The following is a 22,789-nucleotide window of genomic DNA, read 5'->3' on the forward strand; positions in this document are numbered from 1 at the left end:
TAATGAAAGAAAATATTAGTGAGGTTAAAGTTCAGGAAAATGAACCCTCTCCTACAATGCTGCTTATTGTACAAATTAGCAGCATCTTTCTGGAAGACAACTTGGCAATTCTTGTAATTAAAATCCATGAAATGCAAACTCTACTTCTAGTAATGTAGCCAAAGAGAAGTGTTATGGATACATGCAAAGACTGAAGCATTGCCTATAATATAGAGCAACTGAAAACAATGTAAATGCCCAACAACAAAAAATAAATTATGTCATATTTGTATATGGAAATGTTACCCATACATTTAAAAAGACAAATATTTATTGACATGCAAAAATGTTCATTTATATTGTTAAAATTTAAAAAAAGAACTTATTACAAAACAGCATTATCACATTTTTGTAAAAAAACTATATACGGTATTTAAAATGGGTACGTTAAATTGAAAGTTTTATTTTTGCATATTTATACTTACTAAATTCTACACGTTTCACTCATCTATTCATTACTCAAAGTATTAAGGATATACAATGAAATGAAAATATGCTGACAGTATTTCTCCCATCATGGAGCTTACATTCTAGTGAATGGAGGTAAGCAATGAACATATAAATAAATGGGAACATATATTATTTTTGTAAAGCAGTTTCTAAAGATTTGTTTGTAAAAGTTGATAAGGAACAAAGCAAATATTATAGCATTTAAGATTTGGAAACATTTCAATAGAAGTCATGTGTAAGAGGATATGCTCATTGTCTTCATTTTTTTCTGTTCCAATATGGTAGAAGATGTTTTTGAGACCTAAAATACATGTGTAAAAAAATCAATTTGGTAGACATTTTCTTCCATAGGCATACATGGAAGTACATATGGGACAGTGTACACCTATTGGCCAAGAAAGAGAAGACTTAGCATTATCCTAATTCTTACCTGCCAAGTACCCTTGGGCAAGCCAGTTGACCTCTTTGTGCCTCAGATTCTTCATCTGATAAAGAAATAATTATGTTTCAAATATACTCTGAAGAGTTCAAATAAATTATACCCAAAGACAAAGTACTCTTAAAAGATATTCTAATGTATGCAAATGCATGTGTTCTTGACAAAAAATCCTTGCTAAAAGCAACTTAACAAAAATAACAATACTAATAGTAGCTACCATTACTTGAAAACCTATAAGCTACACACCATGCTAGACGTTTTAATTATATGATGGCTTTTAAACATCCTGACAATTGTTTGAGTCAGGTATTACTATTCTAATTTTACAGGTGAGAGAAACAAGAGTCAAAGAAGTTAAATCATGTCTTCACAATGAAACAGCTAATAAATGACAGAACCCAGATCTATAGACCTTTAAAACTCATTACGTTCCTTTTATGTGTCCTCATGCTTCAGAATTTCCTAAATTTTACAAAAATTGTGTTAAAATAAGGAAATCCTAAATGTTAATGTGAAAGTATCATTTTAGTCTTCTAACTTACCCAATCTTGGTGATGTGAGATGAAAATTAAATGATTAGCAGGTTAAAATAGAAAAAAGTAAAAGAAAAAAATTACATAAGTTGAAAAGTATAAACACTTTGTACCCTGCTGTATATTTATGATAGAAATTTTACTTTTTAGTACTTCACAAAATTGGAATGCTTCAGAGAAATGGCCTTTTCCCAAATAAATTCTCCAATCCCAAACCTACACACGACGAAAGCATTCAACTAGAAGAGGCTGTCTAACACTGAGGGCTTGGTACAGTTTTGGAAAAAGTGAGGATACCTGGCTTCTAATCCCAGTAATTCTACTTTATTGGGTAATATGGCGTTGGTCAAACCATGTACTCTTCGGGTCTCAGACACCTACCTCAAATCTGAAATTGACTTCAAAAGGCTGGAAGCAGGTGCTCATAAATCCATAAATATACATGGCTTTTAAACATCTGGAGTTTTATACCAATGTCAAGGATAATTGTTACTAGTGTCCTGAGGTCATTAGGAGAAGACAGAGCTCTGCCTCCAAAAAGTGATAAAAAGTGTACTCACTCACATCAGAAAGTATAACAAGAGGAACCACACACACACACACTGGCACACACATACACACACACACACACTCACGAAAGGCATGGTCAGTTTTGGTAACGTGAATCCAGCTATCCAGATCCTAATGAAGGTAAGCAGGATATCTGGGCTCCTGACTCAGTCCCCATCCTCTTACCCCAGCACTATTCAGAAAGATTTTACAGTACTGTACTTTGATATAGTTGTGTTAACCACGGGGGACTATCCAATGGCTTTGTAAAAAGCTTTTAGACTGATGATTAAAAGTTAGGCAGAACATAAAAGAAAGTGCCTTCTGCATCACCACTTGTTTAATGCCCACTAGACAGATTTCTCCATTGGGCCTGCTTTATCCAGAAGAAGGCACCAGAAAACTAATTTATTAAAAAGGGGCCTTCTGGTTCAAGGCTGAGGCAACGTTTCTTATGATTAATATATCATCCTCACAAAAGCATGGCCCAGGGTGTTTTTATGTCACTGATTACCAAAGAAAGTTAATGTTCTTTATTTTAGTTCTTTAAATGGACTTTAATTTTAAAAGTATTTTATTTTCTTCTGCTTCATTATTTTTATGTTTTTTTAAACAATAATGGTATATATTTTAGTAATATGAGTTTTGATTCTTTCATATTATTGGTAATATAATTAGTAAAATTTTAAATAGGAACTTCAGTCAGAAATATGATTTCTACAAGAGCAGAATTGTGTAGTAAGTACTTTAAAACAAAATATTATTATATATAATAGAATCTTATTGTTTGTTTCAATTATAGAAATGAATAATTATAAATAAGACCAAACTTAGATGAATAAAACCAGAAAATAAAAGTATTTCAAACAGCTTAAACTCTTTTAGGGTCATATAAACATATGATCCTATTAAATGCTTTCATTAAACAATGTTATTAACAATTTTATTAAGTTGAGCTCATGTTAACTTGCTTTTTAAAAATGTTCCTAGGTATGTCCCTTTTGATCAAGTTATAGTTAAAAGTCTCTTATGAATAAAATGGAAATGATAGTATTTACTTCATAGGGAAGAAAGAGTGCCTAATTGCCTGGTAGACAGCAAGGTCAATATTAGCGAGGGCTCTTTAATTAAGCTGTACTTTTAAAAATTAATTTACATTCTGCTTTCCATTCCAAATTTGCCATTGTTACAAATGCAAAACCATTTTAGCACTTCCCAAAGGAAGATTTTCAAAGTTTCAATAAATACACGAAAAAAGGTTTAAAATCATCAGTCATCAGAAAATGCAAATTAAAAATTCCAATTAAATGGAAATGTAAAATTTTCCAATTAAAAATTCACTTCAGCTGCTCTTGAGAGTGTAACTTCTACTACACTCTCAAGAATAGCTAAAGTGAAAACAAATGTTGGAGAGGATGTAGAGCAACTGGAACTCACAAACATTGCTGGTGGAATGTAAAATAGTACAACCTCTTTGTAAACCTGTCTTGCAGTTTATTAGAAACGTTAAACATAAATCTACCCTGTGACTCTGCAAGAAATGAAAACATATGTCCACCAAAGGCCCTGTACAAAAAGGTTGATAGCAGCTTGTTAATTAGAGCCATCATCTGGTGCATAGATAAACTGTGGTATAGTCACACAATGGAAAACTACTCAACAATAGAAAGGAATTGGTGATTGATACATACAATATGGATACATTTTTAAAATAAGTATATACTGTATAATTCCATTTAGATACAATTCTAGAGTATACAAAAGTAACCTATGCTGATAGAAATCAGATCAGTGGTTTCCTCCCTGCTGTGCATTATATGTGAGTCCAAGGAGGGAGAGGAGAGTGGTGGGTTCTTTCTTTTCATTTTCGGAATTGCCAGAAGTTTGTAATTTTGGGGAGTGGGAGGTGGGGTGGAGGCAAATTGATGGATCTTTTCATAGTAATGGTTTTGTTTGTTTGTTTTTGTGCATGAAGACTTTGTTACCTTTATTAGTTTTTTCCTTTCTAGTATTTGTGGCTTATCATATTGGTCATTTTTGTTAGTTTCATTCTTTATCATTTTAACATATTATTCTAATGTACATTTTCCTTTTAGTACCATCTTTGGCAGCATTTCCTATAGTCTGTTCTTTATTATGACTTATTGCCAAACAGTTTATAATTTCAATGTGGTTTCTTCTTTTAACCAGGAGCTATTTGAAAACATTGTTGTTGCTGTATTCTTATATCTATTTAACTTTCTAATCTTCTTTGGTTGCCCTTTTAAGTTTTACTATATTGTGATCAATCAATTTGACCTAAATAATTTCCAGTTTTTGAAATATATTGAGATTTTCTTTGAGGCTTAACATATGTTCAACTTCTATACATGTTCCATAGGTGTTTGAAAGAATGTATATCATCTACATATATACTTATTTAAACAAGTTTAGTAATTATTGATCAGATGCTCTAAAACCTTATGTATATTTTACTTGTCTGGGTCTCCTTTTTATTGTATATGTAAGAGTGTTTTATATTTTAATTGTATATTGCTTGATGAATAAAAATTTAAGTCTGCTACATCTTATTGGTAGTTAGTATATTTTATTGATGTAAAATATGTCTCTTTGCCTCATTTAAATCCATGTGAGAATAGAAACCACCCAAAGTCACACAGATTAATAGGATTAAAATTAAGATTGTTTTCATAATATTATTATTTGACTGCATGCATTAACATTACTGTTCCAGTGTGTCCAAAAAAAGTTGCCCAAATGTTTTAAAGTAACTTATTTCCAGTGCAACTATGCCTTTGAAAAATATATAAAATGATAATCTTACACAATTGCCTACATTCAATGTCAAGAAATAAAACTAAGGGGCTGACTTTATTCCTAAAGTTATGAAGTTGAAAACTGAATTTCAAGGATAATTCTGATTTCATATTTTATAAAACAGGAAAACACCACCGTGGAGAACAAGACTTATTATTAAACTTCACTCTGTTTTATTCTCTGGCCTTAATACATTATGTGCCTCCTGTCTTGATCATCATTAAAAGAAAATTACTCAGGGTTTTGACTTGGAACAAACCCCATCCACTGGTAGCTTTAAGTAAAGATGGAGCTCCTCTACAAAGAATTATTGCTCAATTACCCTGGTAATTGCCCCAAGGACCTTCTTGATTTATACCTGACCCTATACTGAGTTTGTTTGGAGTTCCTGTGGTAAAAACAGTTCTCACCGTTGCAACTGGCTTCTGCCTTTGTCTGTGTCCATTTCAAATTATAATTTCCTTTATCAATCTGGTCCTACCTGCTGTCTATAACTTAAAAATTATGCAAAATATCTGGTATACTTACAGAATCCTTTCTTGCTTTTCAGCACTGTTATAGAATACACACACGCACACACACACAATTTCAAAAGGACCATAGGAACTTAGGAAGGAGCTAGATCTTGGGAGGAAGCTGAGTAGGATCAACATACTGGCTAAGTCAAGGATACACCATTCACATTATGTTGGCCTTGCTTTTCATTGGATTGTACAAAACAGGGCCTCACAGGAAGAAAACATGCATGCTCAGTCTGCCATCTTGAACCTGAAGTATCAATCGCCCACTGAGATTTTAAATAGGCCTTTCTTGCTCCTTTGGGTTATAATTGGTTTAGAAATCACAAAAAAAATTAGGATTGGTTATTTAAAATGTGTATCCCTCTGGCATCTGTGTTCTATGTGAGATCAGCCAAAAACTTTTGTAAATTAATAATCCAAAATATCCTCCAGACACAATGAAATTAAAAGAAGGATATTACCAGTTTCCCCAGATGGGGAAAAAAGAGATTGTGAGGTTAAAGCCAAACAATTAAAATCCTCAAAATGTTCCCAGTGTATTTGCATTTGCTTGTTGATTGCTTTTATCATACAATAAAACTAAAGACTTTCTGCAACCAAATGCAGTAGAAAACAATCTTTACTGAGGAAAAAAATTAAAATATGAATTGCTTTTTGTAGGAAAGACTTGTTGAAACATTTTGTAATTTCTAACTTGAATTGACTGAGGCCCACAGAGACATGAAGGCAACCTTTGCAAAATGTATTAAAAGTAACAACAGGACTTACTCTGTACTTTGCTAAAATATTAGTTAATTCAAAGTGCATAATAATCACTTACAAATGGATGCATATACATCTACAAAATCAAAGCAAAACATCTCTTCCAGAGATTTTTTTCTAGTGTTTTAACAGGACAGCATGGCAAAATAATATTTCCAGTACATCTTAAAATTAAAATAAACATCTACATTACCTAGAACCTCAGAGAAAAGTATTCATTATAATAAAATAAATATACCATAATTTCATAAATGTGAACCCATATGTGTTCATAGAACCAGCAGCAAAATTTTGTCTTCATGACACCCACTAATTGTAAGATAAGTACCAAATTATTTCCATTAGTATTCAAGGTTCTTTGAATTCCAGCCTCCACCTCTTCTGCCTCTATTGTCTCTCATTACTTTCCATATAAATAAATTCTTAAATCTAGGAAACTATTTTCCGTGCTCATTCATGGGTTTATTCATTTAGTAAATATTCATTAAGCCCCTACCAAGTATCAAGCACAGTTTTAGGCACTGGAGACACACCAGTGAAATGACAGACAAAAATTACCGTTCTTGTGAAACTTATGTTCTTTAGAGGACAGGAGGAGACAGATATGAAAGCATAAATTATGCATATATAGGTGTATATGTTTATATAGTGTAAATTATAGGTAAAAGTGAAGGATAATGGAAAAATTTGACCAGAGTAAGCATCCAGGGGTGATGGGGGAGTTGCAACTAATCCAGCTCAAGCCGTTGGCTCCCATTGAAACTCTTCCCAGTTTCTCCGACCTATGGTGACCTTCCCATCCTGTGAACAAGTGTAGTACTACCTGACAATCTGTAGCCTTCAACTGACTTTTCTGGCACATTATCTTATACTGTAATAGGCAGTAAATTTGAAACTGCCTGGAATTGGAGAGAGAAGTCCAGCAATGTAGTTTTGACTCTGTCACTTGGTAAATTATGTAACCTGTAATTTTTTAAAGGAGGGGTTTGACTATATGGTTATCTTAATATCTTTTGAACTGGAAATATCATAATTTTTATGTGTATGTTTTTCTGCCCCCATCAATTTTGCAATAAGCATATGTCTTTTATATATATTCTTTTTAGAACCATCCATATGTTTAATATGTAATAAATGTGTATTTATCTTAATTGGTTTGCTGGTAAAATCATTTTCAGTCTCATTATCAAAACATCATTCAAGGCCGGGTGCGGTGGCTCATGCTTGTAACCCCACACTTTGGGAGGCCGAGGCAGGCAGATCACCTGAGGTCAGGAGTTCAAGACCAGCCTGGCCAACATAGTGAAACCCCATATCTAATAAAAATACAAAAATTAGCCAGGTGTGGTGGTGCATGTCTGTAATCCCAGCTACTCAGAAGGCTGAGGCAGGAGAATCGCTTGAACCTGGGAGGCAGAGGTTGCAGTGAGGCAGGATTGCACCATTGCACTCCAGCCTGGGTGACAAGAATGAAACTCCGTCTCAAAAAAAAATATTCAATTATGAATAAATGTTTTCAGTCATACACCAGTCTTTCCATTGGCTGCAAATATTTTGTGAAGGAATGTTCTCTCTCTAGTCTCTGAGTAAGGTATAGGTTTTAAAAGAACTTAAGTTCAAGAAATCATGGTTCTCAAGCCCTGTCACTAATGTGCCATGAATACAGATGTTTTGTTTAAAAAGCATTTGATCCTCTCTAGGAAAATCTGCCCCTGCAAAGTTTCCATGTCATTTTTAGTTTGTATTGCCACAAAATCACTCCCAGTAACTATTCAATCAAAAAAAAATTTGCAAAAGCAATTATTCCAAACTAGACAGTTTAGAGCTCCCAAGATTCTGTGCCCCTTGTCTTCAGCTACCAGGGTGGATATGGAAGACCCAGAAGGTGGAGGCAGGGTTAGGCGTGTCTGAGCTCAGACTGTCCTTGTGTGGGTCTTGCTGTGAATGCTGTGGGGGTTGGGGTGAGCTTCCCTGGTCAATGGAGTTGTGTACCTAGGAGGATTATGGCTGCCTCTGCTGAGTCATGCAGATTGTCAAGGAAATGGGGGATAATCAGCAGCCACAGATCTCCCCCCAGCTCCCATGCAAATCAAAGAACTGGTCTCACTCCCATCATGACCCCCTCAACAGCCCTGAGTCTGTTTCCAGGCAGTGGGCAGGCTGGTCTTGAGAACTTGCCCCAGGCTACCTGCCTCCCAGCTGCGAAAGACAAGGGCTTGATTCCTCCCCCACCTGTGGAGGTTGCACACCGGATTCAGCTTCTTGCCCAGTTCAAATTGTTACAAAGTTCAGCTGGAGACCTTCTTCCCTGTGGTGATTTCCCCCTACTCCTCTGGCTGCCTCCCAGAGGATCCCTGTGGTGCCAGGCAGGAATGACTTGCTTGGGAACCCAGCGAGATCCCACCTGCTGCTTCCTCCCTGTATTTTGCTTGGCCCTCTAAATTGACTCAGCTCCAGGTAAGGTCAGAAACCTCTCCCACAAACAGACCTTCAGTTTCTCCAGTGGGGGTGTGTGTTCAGGAGAGGAGGATCTCCCTTTCCCGCTTCCGCAGTTGGGTCACTCACAGTATTTGGGGTGTCTCCTGGGTGTTGCAGGAACAGTCCGCTTTTTTCAGAGGGTCTGTGGGTCCTCTCAGGATTGCTGGTTTGTTCTTGAAGTTTATCTGGAGCTAAAATTCACAATGCGAGCCTCCGCACGCTGCTCTGAGTCAGAGCTGCAATCTAATCCTGCCTCCTGTCTGCCACGATGATCGATTCCACAAAGAAAATTCTAAGTCCACGCAGCTTAAGTTCTGTCAAACATTTAAAAAAAAATACTGAATAAAGGAAGAGTGAATACTTATACCTCATAGTATGTGGTCACCATTACTCTGATACTAAAACCAAGGATATTATTAAAAAATAAAACTACAGACCAATATGTCTCCTAATCATACATTCAAAAATCCTTAACACGGTATAAGCAAATTAAGTCCAGCAATTTATAAGAAGGGTAATGCACCATGACCAAGTGGGGTTTATATGATGAATGCAAAGTGAATTTAAAATGTAAAAAATAACCAGTATCATTCACCATATTAATAAAAATATATGATCTCATTAAAGTACAAAAAAGCATTTGAGGCTGGATGTGGTGACTCATGCCTGCAATCTCATCACTTTGGGAAGCCGAACAGGGTGGATTGCTTGAGCCCAAGACTTTGAGGCCAGGCTTGGCAACATAAAGAGAAACCCATCTCTACAAAAAATTTTAAAAATTAGCCAGGCATGGTGGTGCATGACTGTGTCCCAGCTACTTGGGAACAGGTGAAGGCAAGAGGATTGCGTGAGGCCCAGATTTCAAGGCTGCAGTAAGCTATGATCAAATTATTGCATCACTGCACTCCAGCCTGGATGACAGAGTGAGACCTTGTCAAAAAAACAACAACAACAACAAAAAAAAAAACCACTTGATACAATTCAATACACATTCACCCATTCATGATAAAAATTCTTATGTAAATAGAAACATAATGGAACTTCCTGAACCTCATAAAAAAAAATTCACAAAATCCTATAAAAAACCTCATGCTAAATGGTGAAAGATAATTTCTCACTCAAGTTCAGAAAGAAGGCAAGGATGCTCATTCTCAGTGTTCTTACTCAACAGTGTTCTTACTCAACAGTGTTCTGAATGCAATGTAATATGCAAAACAATGCAGTAAGGCAATAAATAAATATATACGATCACAGTGGAAAAATTAAAACTACATCTATTCAAACATAACATGATCATGTATACAGAAAATTCTAAGGAATTCATCCAAAAAAGTTACTAGAAATAACAAATTAATTTAACATGTTTGCAGAATATAAAATCAATATACAAGAATCAATTGTATTTTCTTACACTATTAACAAACAATTAGATCACTGTTACCTCTGACCAAAATGAATTTAAAAGACCAGAATTACCCTCTCAGATGAAATAATTAAAAAGTCAGAAAAAATATATAAAGTAACTGATAAAAACAAGCAGACAAGATACAGAAGCCTTTAAGAATACTATTAAAAATTTTGACATAAATAATAACTGAATCTGGCAACTGCATAATTCATATCTCTGTAAGTACAAACAATATTTATCTAAACTGACGGTATGCTGGGCAATAGAGTAAATTTTAACTCATTTGAAAGTACTGGAATTATAAAGCATATTATCTAAGTAGAATGGAATAAAGCTAAAATATAATTTTAAAAAAACAACTAGAGAATCTTCATGTGTTTAGAATATTAAGCAATAGACTTCTAAATAAATCACTTTTTAAACAAGACTCAAAATGAAAATTAGAAAGTGTTTTTTACTAAATGATAATGAAAATATTGCATACTAATGTTTGTGGGATGTGATTAAAGCCATGATCAGAAGACATTTTTTATAGAAATAGAATAATTGTATAAATGGTTATCTTAAGAAATTATAAAATTAGCAGTAAATTAAAAGGTAAGGAAAGGAGAAAATGAAGTCAAAAATTCCATACAAAGGATTAGCAAAGCCCAAATTGGTCCTTTGACAAAGCCTTGACAAATAAAATTTATAAACACCTACTGAGGACAATCAGAAGAAGAAAAGAGAAAGCAAATTTACCAAGAAGTCTTTAATAAAATTTAACGTCTACTCACCACTCAAAAAAAAAAAAAATAATAATAGAACAACAAAAAAGAACCTGTTACAAAAATAAGAAAGAAAACCTTCCTTATCTGGGTAAGGATACCTAGGAAAATAAAGAAAGATCAAATAAATAAAAACCTACAGAAAACATCACATTTAATAATAAAATAATGAAAGCTTTTCCTCTGTGGTTGAAATAAGACAAGAATGTTTACTGTCAGCATTTCAATAGAACATTATATTGGAGGTTTTAGCCAGTGAATGCAATAAAATGAAAAAGAAGGAGGAAGAGGAAAAGGAGAATGAGGAAGGAGAGAGGAGGGGAAGGAGGGAAAAGAAGTGGGGAAGGAAAAGGGAAAGAAAGGAATGGGGGAAGGAAAAATGGCATAAGGATTGGAAAGGGAAAAAAACAAATTACTTTTACTCACAAAAGGTGTAACAATACCTAGAGAAGCTAAAAGTATCTATAGACAAATTAGAAAAATTTATGAGTTTAGCAGGATTGCTGGTTACATCAATGTACAATATATATAAAATTGCCTTTCTATACAGCAGCAACAAAGTATAAAAACAAATTTTTAAATATTACTTATATTGGATAAAAATCAAATACCTATAAAACAATTATTAAGATAAAGAAGATTTCACAATGAATGATAGACCACCTTCAGAAGTTGGGAAGACACAAAATCATAAAGTTATTAGTTCTCCCCTAAATTGCTCTGTAGATTAAATGCAATCCTAATCAAAGCTTGGCAGTGTTTGTTGTGGAAATTGACAAGCTGCTTTGAAATTTATTTTATTTCAAAATGCTAAGGGCTGAGAATACCTAAGACAATTTTGAAGGGCAAAGTTGGAAGACTTATGATACTAGATATAAAGACTTATCACAAAGCTACATTAATGATGGCCATGCGTTACTGGAGCAAACGAAGACAAATAGACTAATTCAATTGTGCAGAACAGAGTCTGAAACAGAACTATATATACAGAAATTCTTGATTTGTGACAAAAGTGGAGTGCAGAGCAGTGGAGAAACAGAGGTCTTCTGTAACCAATTGGTAGGTCAACATGTTTTTCCCATAGGAAAAAGAAAAGAATCATGATCTTATCTCACATCATGCTCAAAAATCAGTTCTGGTAGGAGTGTGGATCTCAGTGTGAAAAGTAAAGCAATAAATCTTCTGGAAAATAATATGAACATATTTTTGAGATGACAAATCTTATAACTTAGATGACTTAATTATACACAAACTTCTATCTCTCAAAAAATACCAGAAAGACCGCTAAAGTCAAGACTCAGAGCAAGAGAAGATTTTTGCAACATTTAGAACCAAAAATAGAAAAAAAGTCCTTCAAAATAATAAGAAGAAAACACACACACACACACACACACACACACACACAAACGAACAAGAGACTTAAACAAGCTCTTCACAAAAAGAGTATACTCAATTATCCAGCAGACATAAGAAAAACTACTCAACTGCTTTCATAATAAGGAAATGCGAAATAATACCACAAGCAAGGGTAGGCGAGGCCAAGATGGCGGACTAGAAGCAGTGGCAATAGGAGGCTCCCATTGAAAAGATTCAAAACAGCGTGCAAATCCTGCACAGGCAACCAAGGTATCCAGATTCTGTCATTAGGACTGACTAGGCAGCTGGTGTGACCCACAGAGAGGAAGCAAGAGCAGTGTGGTGCGGTGGCCCACCTGAGAGCCACAAGGGGCAGGGGAGCCTCCACCCTCATCCCAGGGAGTAGGTGAGTGAGTATGCTACCCAGCCTGGGAAACCATGCTTTTTCCACAGAACTGTGCAACCCATGGATTGGAAGATCCCACTCAGAAGCCCATGCAACCAGGGCCTTGGGCCCAGACCATGGAGCCACCCAGATTCTCAACACCCACTTGGCTAGAATCAGCCTAAGCCTGCAGAGTTCCCAGGGAGAGGGGTGGCCATCACCACTGCTGCGGCTGCCTGTGGTGTAAGCTGTCTGAGCTCCTTGGTGGAGGGGTGGCAGCAAACACTGCAGCTGCAGGGCTTCCCTTCAGTGACTCCAACTTCAGCCAGGGACTTAGGGACAGAACTCTGATCTCTCTGGGCCTGAGCCCCTAGTGGAAGGGGTGGCCATAGTCTCCATGGATCAGCAGAATTAATCTTTCCTCCTACTAGCTCTGAGGAATCCAGGCAGCCCAGAAGTGTGAGTTTCCCCACAGTGCAGCACACCCCTTCCACCAAGGGACAGCCAAAGTGCCTCGTTAAATGGGTCCTGCTTCCTGTGCCACCCAACTGGGTAAGAACCCCCAACAGGAGTTATCAGACATCCTATATAGGAGCATCAGGTCAGTGCCCCTCAAGGTCAGAGATCCCAGAGGAAGGAGCAGGCACCCATCTTTGCTATTCTCCAGCCTCCTTGAGTGACATCTCCAGGTGCAGGAGTGAACCAGATGAATAGAGTCTGAAGTGACCCCCCAGCAAACCGCAGCAGGAGCCCTACAGAAGAGGAAGCTGACTATTGAAAGAAAAACGAACAGAAGACAACAACAACAGCATCAACAAAAATGTCCCCACAAAAACCTCATCCAAGGGTCAGCAGCTTCAAAGATTGAAACTAGACAAACTCATGAAAATGAGAAAGAATCAATGAAAAAATGCTGAAAACTCAAAAGGCCAGAGTGCCTCCTCTCCTCCAAATGATCACAACACCTCTCCAGCAAGGGCGCAGAACTGAACAGAGAATGAGATAGACGCATTGACAGAAGTAGGCTTCAGAAGGTGGATAATAACAAACTTCACTGCGGTAAAGGAGCATGTTCTAACCCAATGCAAAGAAGCTAAGAACCTTGATAAAAGGTTAGAGGAGCTGCTAACTAGAATAACCAGTTTAGAGAGGAACATCAATGACCTGATGGAGCTGAAAAACGCAGCACGAGAACTTTGTGAAGCATGCACAAGTATCAATATTCGAATCAATCAAGCAGAAAAAATAATATCAGAGATGGAAAACTATCTTGCTGAAACAAGGCAGGCAGAGAAGATTAGAGAAAAAAGAATGAAAAGTAACAAACAAAACCTCCTAGAAATATGGGACTATGTAAAAAGACCGAACCTATGACTAATAGGAGTACCTGAAAGAGACAGGGAGAATGGAACCAAGTTGGAAAACACACTTCAAGATATTATCCAGGAAAACTTCCCCAACCTAGCAAGACAGGCCAACATTCAAATTCAGGAAATACAGAGAACCCCACTAAGATACTCCACGAGGAGATCAATCCCAAGACACATAATCATCAGATTCTACAAGATCAAAACGAAGGAAAATATGTTAAGGGAAGCCAGACAGAAAGGCCTGGTCACAAACGGGAGCCCATCAGACTAACAGTGTCTGTGTCTCAGCAGAAACCCTACAGGCCAGAAGAGAGTGGAGGCCAATATTCAACATTCTTAAAGAAAAGGATTTTCAAACCAGAATTTCATATCTGGCCAAACTAAGCTTCATAAGCAAAGGAGAAATAAAATCCTTTTCCGACAAGCAAATGCTGATGAAATGCGTTACCACCAGGCCTGCCTTGCAAGAGCTCCTGAAGGAAGCACTAAATATGGAAAGGAAAAACTGGTACCAGCTGTTGCAAAACACAAAAAAATAAAAAGACCAATGACACTATGAAGAAACACCATCAACTAGTGTGCAAAATAACCAGCTAGCATCATCATGACAGGATCAAATTCACACATAACAATATTAACCTTAAATGTAAAAGGGCTAAATGCCCCCCAGTTAAAAGACACAGACTGGCAAATTGAATAAAGAGTCAAGATCCATCAATGTGCTATATTCAAAAGACCCATCTCACGTGCAAAGGCACACATAGGCTCAAAATAAAGGGATGGAGGAAATTTTACCAAGCAAATAGAAAGCAGAAAAAAGCAGGGGTTGCCATCCTACTCTCTGACAAAACAGACTTAAAACCAACAAAGATCAAAAAAGGCAAAGAAGAGCAATACATAATGCTAAAGGGACCAATTCAACAACAAGAGCTAACTATACTAAATATATATGCACCCTACACAGGAGACCCAGATTAATAAAACAAATTCTTAGAGACCTACAAAGAGACTTAGACTCCCACACAATAATAGTGGAGACTTTAACTCGTACTGTCAATATTAGACAGATCAATGAGACAGAAAATTAGCCCATATTACCTGAATACCTTAACAAGGATATTCAGGACTTGAACTTAGCTCTGGATAAAGTGGACCTAATAGATATGTACAGAACTCTCCAACCCAAAACAACAGAATATACATTTTTCTCAGTATCACATGGAACTTACTCTAAAATTAACTACATAATCAGAAGTAAAACACTCCTCAGCAAATGCAAAAAAACTGAAATCGTAACAAACAGTCTCTCAGATCACAGTGCAATCAATTTAGAACTCAGGATTAAGAAATTCACTCAAAACCACACAGCTGCATGGAAGTTGAACAACTTGCTCCTGAATGACTCCTGGGCAAATAATGAAATTAAGGCAGAAATCAACAAGTTCATTAAAACCAATGAGAGCAAACAGACAATGTACCAGAATCTCTGGGACGCAGCTAAAGCAGTATTAAGAGGGAAATTTATAGCACTAAATGCCCACATCAGAAAGCTAGAAATATCTCAAATTGACACTCTAAAATCACAATTAAAAGAACTAGAGAAGCAAGAGCAAACAAATCCAAAGCTAGTGTAATGCAAGAAGTAAGTAAGATCAGAGCAGAACTGAAGCAAATAGGGGCACAAAAAACCCTTCAAAAGTATCAATGAATCCAGAAACTGGTTTTTTTTCTTCTTAAAATTCTTAATAAAATAGACTACTAGCTAGAATAATGAAAAAGAAAAGAGAGAAGAATAAAATAGACACAATAAAAAAATGATGAAGGGGATATCACCACTGACCCCACAGAAATAGAAACTACCGTCAGAGAATATTGTAAACACTCCTATGGAAATAAACTAGAAAATCTAGAAGAAATGGATAAATACCTGTACATATACACCCTCCCAAGACTAAACCAGGAAGAAGTCGAATCCCTGAATAGACCAATAACAAGTTCTGAAACTAAGACAGTAGCCTACCAACCGAAATAGCCTACCAACCAAAAAAAGCCCAGGACCAGACGGATTCACAGCCGAATTCTATCGGAAGTACAAAGAGGAGCTGGTGCCATTCCTTCAGAAACTATACTAAACAACTGAAAATAGAGACTCATCCCTACCTCATTTTATGAGGCCAGCATCATCCTGATACCAAAACCTGGCAGAGGCACAATAACAAAAAAAAAAAACTTTAGGCCAATATCCCTGATGAACATCAATACGAAAATCAATAAAATACTGGCAAACTGAATCCAATAGCATATCAAAAAGCTTATCCACCACAATCAAGTCGTCTTCATCCCTGGGAGGCAAGGCTGGTTCAACATATAAAAATCAATAAACATTATCACACAAACAGAACCAATGACAAAAACCACCTGATTATCTAAATAGATTCAGAAAAGGCCTTCTATAAAATTCAATATCCCTTCATGCTAAAAAGTCTCAATAAACTAGGCATCCATGGAAGATACCTCAAAATAGCAAGAGCTATTTATGACAGACCCACAGCCAATATCATACTGAATGGGCAAAAGCAGGAAGCATTCCCTTTGAAAACTGGCACAAGACAAGGATTCCCTCTCTTACCACTCCTATTCAACAAAGTATTGGACGTTCTGGCCAGGGCAATCAGGCAAGAGAAAGAAATAAAAGGTATTCAAATAGGAAGAGAGGAAGTCAAATTGTCTCTGTTTACAGACGACAGGATCCTATATTTAGAAAACCCCATCATCTCAGCCCAAAATCTCCATAAGCTGATAAGCAACTTCAGCAAAGTCTCAGGGTACAAAATCAATGTGCAAAAATCACAAGCATTCCTATTTACCAACAGTAGATAAGCAGAGAGCTAAATCATGAAAGAACTCCATCCACAATTGCTACAAAGAGAATAAAATACCTAGGAATACAGCTAACAAGGGACGTGAAGGACCTCTTCAAGGAGACCTACAAACCACTGCTCAAGGAAATCAGAGAGGACACAGACAAATGGAACAACATTCCATCCTCAGGGATAGGAAAAATCAGTATGGTGAAAATGGCTATACTGGCCAAAGTAATTATAGATACAATGCTATTCCCATCAAACTACCATTGACATTCTTCACAGAATTAGAAAAAAACTACTTTAAAATTCATATGGAACAAAAAAGAGCCTGCGTAGCCAAGACAATCCTAAGCAAAAAGAACAAAACTGGAGGCATCACGCTACCTGACTTCACACTATACTACAAGGCTACACTAACCAAAACAGCATAGTGCTGGTACCAAAGAAGACATATAGACCAATGGAACAGAATAGAGACCTCAGAAATAAGACCACACATCTACAACCATCTGATCTTCAACAAACCGGACAAAAGCAAGCAATGGGGAAAGAATTCCCTATTTAATAAACGGTGCTGGGAAAACTGACTGGCCATATGCAGACAACTGAAACTGGATCCCTTCCTTACACCTTATACAAAAATTAACTCAAGGTAGATTAAAGACTTGAATGTAAGACCCAAAACCATAAAAACCCTAGAAGAAAACCTAGACAATACCATTCAGGACATAGGCATGGGCAAAGATTTTACCATGAAATCACCAAAAACAATTGCTAAAATTAACAAATGGGATCTAATCAAACTAAAGAGCTTCTGCACAGCAAAAGAAACTATCATCAGAGCGAACACACAACCTACAGAATGGGAGAAAATTTTTGCAATCTATCCATCTGACAAAAGTCTAATATCGACAAGAAACTTAAACAAATTTACAAGAAAAAAACAGACAACCCCATCAAAAAGTGGGCAAAGGATATAAGCAGACACTTCTCAAAAGGAGACATTTATGCAGCCAACAAACATATGAAAAGAAGCTCATCATCACTGGTCATTACAGAAATGCAAATCAAAACCACAATGAGATATCATCTCACAGCAGTCAGAATGGCAATTATTAAAAAGTCAGAAAACAACAGATGCTGGAGAGGATGTGGAGAAATAGGAATGTTTTTACATTGTTAGTGGCAATGTAAATTAGTTCAACCATTGTGAGAAACTGTATGGTGATTCCTCAAGGATCTAGAACCAGAAATATCATTTGACCCAGTAATCCCATTACTTGGTATATACCCAAAGGAACATAAATTATTCTATTATAAAGATACATGCACGCTTATATTTATTGCAGCACTATTCACAATCGCAAAGACATGGAACCAACCCAAATGCCCATCAGTGATAGACTGGATTAAGAAAATGTGGCACATATACACCATGGAATACTATGCAGCCACAAAAAGGAATGAGTTCATGTCCTTTGCAGGGACATGGATGAAGCTGGAAGCCATCATCCTCAGCAAACTAACAGAGGAACAGAAAACCAAACACTGCCTATTCTCACTCATAAGTGGGAGTGGAACAATGAGAACACATGAACACAGGGGAGGGAACAACACACACCAAGGCCTGTCAGGGGTGGGAGGTGGCCACGAGGGAAGGGAAAGCATCAGGACAAATAGCTAATGCAAGCAGGGCTTAAAACCTAGTTAACAGGTTGATAGGTGCATCAAACCACCATGGCACATGTATACCTATGTAACAAACCTGCAGGTTCTGCACATGTATCCCAGAACTGAAAGTTAAAATAATAATAATAATAATACCACAAGCAAGTCTCAATGTAACATCAATAAAAAACTCACAATATCAATGTTGTAAGACAGTGGAACAAAACAGGAATTCATATGTTGTTCTTAGAGACATAAATTGTTACATCCACTTTGGGAAACTATTTGGTGTTATCCAATAAAGTCGAATATATGCATACCCTGTATATCATTCCTACACATATAGCTAACAAATTTTACATTGGAAAATATAAGAATGTCCACAGTGGCTTTTTCTTTAAGAGCTAAAATTAGCAAGGTAATGTAGAAAATGGTAAATGGATGAATAGCACATTCATACAATGGAATATACTTTACGCAATGGAAATGAACAAATATCAACTAGGTGCTACAATATAGACGAATCTCACAAACATAATATTGAGCAGAAGATTCCAGAAGCATTCCGACAGAGGTGCAGCCGATGGTGGTGCTGCTAGCAAGAAACAGGGAGGGTGGCCACTATGCCCTGCCCCAAGATGCTGCAAGGCTTGCACCCAGGACAGGAACCCTCCCTTGTCAGGGGCAGAGAGCAAGATGGATCTCAGGCAGGCACACTCCAAGAGGCTCTGCTGCCAGGACAACAGAGGGCTGGAGAGTAGACAGTTGAGTTCTGATTCCAGAGTGGCAGCAGGGAGTGAGCCTCAGCATGAGTCCAGACTCCAAACCCCAGTGCATGCTCAATTGTCCCATCAGACTTCACTTACAAAACACAAATTCTAGGAGAGAATTATTAGGAATTTTGAGATTGCAAACACACAAGCACAGGGCCCTTTTGAACATGTGTCCCTATGTGACTGCACTAGCCACATACCCATGAGGCCTGTCCTGCTTCAAATACAAAAGAATACATACTGGGTAACATATAAAAACATATATAGTTTTTAAAATTGGGTGGGGACCAGTTCTCCTTGGAGAAATGGCTGATTCTATGTCTCAGACATGGAAAGTACAAAGTGAAAACATGGGCCAGTGGGTGTCAGAAAGCAAGGAAGTATTCAAAAACTGCTAGGAATCTATCAAATGGATAGAAGAGCCAGTTTAAAGGTGCTCCCACTGGCCACATTTGGGATGACTTGGGCACCAGAATTAGTAACTGTAATTTGTTGCATTGCATTGAATAAATAAAAATTCCTGAAAATATCATCATGCTTATAAAGAAAATGCAAGAGGGCAAATAGGGAAGGAAAGAAAGGACGGTGAGAGGGAAGGCAGAAAGAAGGAAAAGACACTCACTTGCTATCATTGCAGGCAATAATTATTCAACTCCTTAACTTGAAAACTGGTGATTGAAGGGAAAAGAAGTAAGCATTTACCTCACATGTTAAAATTAAACTATAACTCACTGCCAGTTGATGGTTTAAAATGTTATTACAGAAAAAAAGGGATGTATTAAAAGTAGAAGAAATGATCCTTTTAAAATGAAATGTAATTTTAAAAAATAATTCAGTAAAAGATTATCAGTGGGTGCTAAAACCATCAGAAGGAAAGTTGATGGAATGGGATATTCACATTTTATGGACGTCTCACTCTTAGGATTGTCCGCTGTGAAAGGGAAAATTTACCTTTGCAATAGAGAAATCTTGTAGTTACCACCTTAACTAAGTAATCAAACCTAGTATCACTAATAGTGTCACTTTACATCTCCTGATGCAATACAGGATCTTGTGAAAATCTCTTTGCCAAAAATGATTGATTGAATCTATTTGAGCCTTTAGACCTATTCTACAGTTTATAGGAAATACAGGGGTAAAGAAACCAATTAAAGGACACCACGAGAAGCAAACAAACAAACTCAAAATGCAGACATTCCACTAAATAACTGGTCTTGTCTTCTAAATAATTAAATGTGAAAAATAAAATTGTGGGACGGCTATTTTAGACTAATGGGACATAACCCAAAATTTTTACTCACGACATTTACTGTTAGTTAATACATGAGAATTGTTGTGAAATTTCTAGGTGCAACAATTGTATTATACCTATGTGACAGAATGTCCTTATTTTTAGGAGATGTATCTGCACTGTTTTGGAGGACAATTTTCTCAGAAATGATTCTGCAGACAGACTAAAATGTTAACGACTGTGGAGTCTCAATGGAAGGCATGCAAATGTTAACTCTATTAATATTTCAACTTTTCTGTATGTTGGAAAAATTTTTAATGGTGTCAAAGTCTTATTGTAACTTACAAACTTTCTCTTTAACAGCTAAAACTTTCCTTTGAACAAAATCTTCCAAAGCCTTGTGGAAAATAAAGCAGACACCACCAGAACTGTTCTGATTGAAGCAGGTTAATGGTGCATCGCTATCAGCAACCCCCTCACCCCTCAAAGGCATGCCTGAAGCCTTCAGAGAAACTCAGTTTTAAACCACTGGCTTAGTAAATTATTCCCCATAGTGACAAGAAGGGCTGGAGGGCAGCAGAGCACCAAGTACCTAAAGAAAAAAGTGTGCACAGAGAAAAGGGCATAAAAAAGAAAGATGACAGAGAAATTAAGATACATTTCACATTCCCATTAAGGCCAATTTTCTCCTATGGCATTTTGGGATACTTAGGTAAATTTTCTCTGACAGCAAATACAGTCAGAGACCCAAAACCTAGGGAGAAAGAAGCATTGTCCTTAATAGAGTGTTCATCATGAAACATAGAGCCAAAGTGCCCATCTATTCTAAACCGCTCATAAACAGATAAAGAAATCAAAGTTTCATGTGGTCTTTTTTTAAAAATAAAAGATATGGAGTTTAAAATCCAATTTAATTGCACTTTAATTACTAAAAAGTTTTAGCCTTGGTGAAGTTTCCTGGGTAAAACAGGCCAGATAAGGCAGGTTTTTATTTACTTCCTGTTTGAAATGCATTTCACTTTTAGAAAATAGCCTACTAAATGTATGCATGTTTTAATTATGTGCTGTTTAAAGCACAATTAGGTAGTATAAATTTTAATTAGGTACTGAGCATTTATTTTTATTCTTTGTATGTTGTTTTATATGTGCAGGTGCTTATGATTTTAAAGACCTGACTCTTCCTTAATTAGTTCCCACCCATTCTGGTCTTTTTCTAAAATAACAAACCACATAATTTATTGTGTACATCTAAATATGTACAATTTCCTAAGAGACAAAGATTTTCTAAGGAAATAAATTTGTGAACTTAAGAAAATAACATTTTTTTCTAGGTTTCTTACATGTGAGTAGATGCTTGGATTAAAGTTTCATAGATCTTTGCCATTGTTATGAATGTCTAAGAATTATTTAAATTTAGAAAATAAAGAATGGAGTTCTTTGAGAGCATGTTGTAAAAATAATGTCTACAGTCTTGATATTTAGTAAGATACGTTTTTAAAGAACTATTTTTTCTTAGTATCAGCATGCTTTCTAAATTGAATCATAGATCTTAAGGCAAATAATCAAGGTCTTCTTATCTAGAAAGCAAAAAGTATTGTCTCTATTGGCAATCCAAATCTAGCCATTGTTACCAATCAGCCTTGGGAGAGGTCAATAAAGGGAGGGAAGATAACTAACACATACTGAGTGACAACCGTGTACAAGGTTGTCTCACTTAATTCTCATGACAATTCTACAAGGTAGATAGCATTTTCCCCTTTAGAAAGTGTTTGGACTAGGATTAAAATATACGTAAGACCTGCCTGACTGACTCAAAAACCCATGATTTTGACAAAATATCAATTATTATTAGAAGTTAAAATTTAAAAGGGAAAATGAAAATAAACCACATCTACAGGAAACTGCGTATTTGGGTGCATATAGTGTGAAGCAAACAGTTTTTATTGCTGGTGAGAAATCATAATGAGACAACTTACAGCATCAAAACAGATGTTTTTCAGCCTGCCTTAAGAATTGAAGAGACCAGACACTGTGAAACTACAGAAACATTCTCTCATTCTCTCAAGCTATAGGAGAAACATTAAATGGTGATCTTCTTTTCATTCACTTTTTCAGAAATAGAAAGTCATTAAGTCAAAAATAAACATATTTCTATACCTAGGAGTATCTAGAATTATGTCAATAACTAAAGGAAAATTAATTATGTCACCATCTCCAACACTGCCATTGACCTTCCCCACTCACCAAAAAAAAAAAAAAAAATGCATCAAGACTTTCCACTTTGTGCGGTAGTACCAGCACTAACCCAGAAATTCATTTTTTAGGTTGATCTTTGCCCAGTATGTCACATCACACTTCCATGAATAGCACTATTGA

The 22,789-nt window shown here is 36.3% G+C and overlaps 1 long non-coding RNA gene across 1 annotated transcript; it reads right to left on the reverse strand.

The window, feature by feature from the left end:
* Nucleotides 1–413: 413 nt before the first annotated feature.
* LOC105373448 (uncharacterized) lies at nt 414–8,756 on the reverse strand. Its single transcript, XR_939759.2, has 3 exons — nt 8,676–8,756; nt 920–974; nt 414–790 (listed from the first exon to the last, which is right to left on the reverse strand). It is a non-coding gene; the product is annotated as an uncharacterized LOC105373448 (long non-coding RNA).
* Nucleotides 8,757–22,789: the final 14,033 nt, after the last annotated feature.

Source organism: Homo sapiens, chromosome 2 (genome assembly GCF_000001405.40).
Source record: "Homo sapiens chromosome 2, GRCh38.p14 Primary Assembly".
Lineage (NCBI taxonomy): Eukaryota > Metazoa > Chordata > Mammalia > Primates > Hominidae > Homo > Homo sapiens.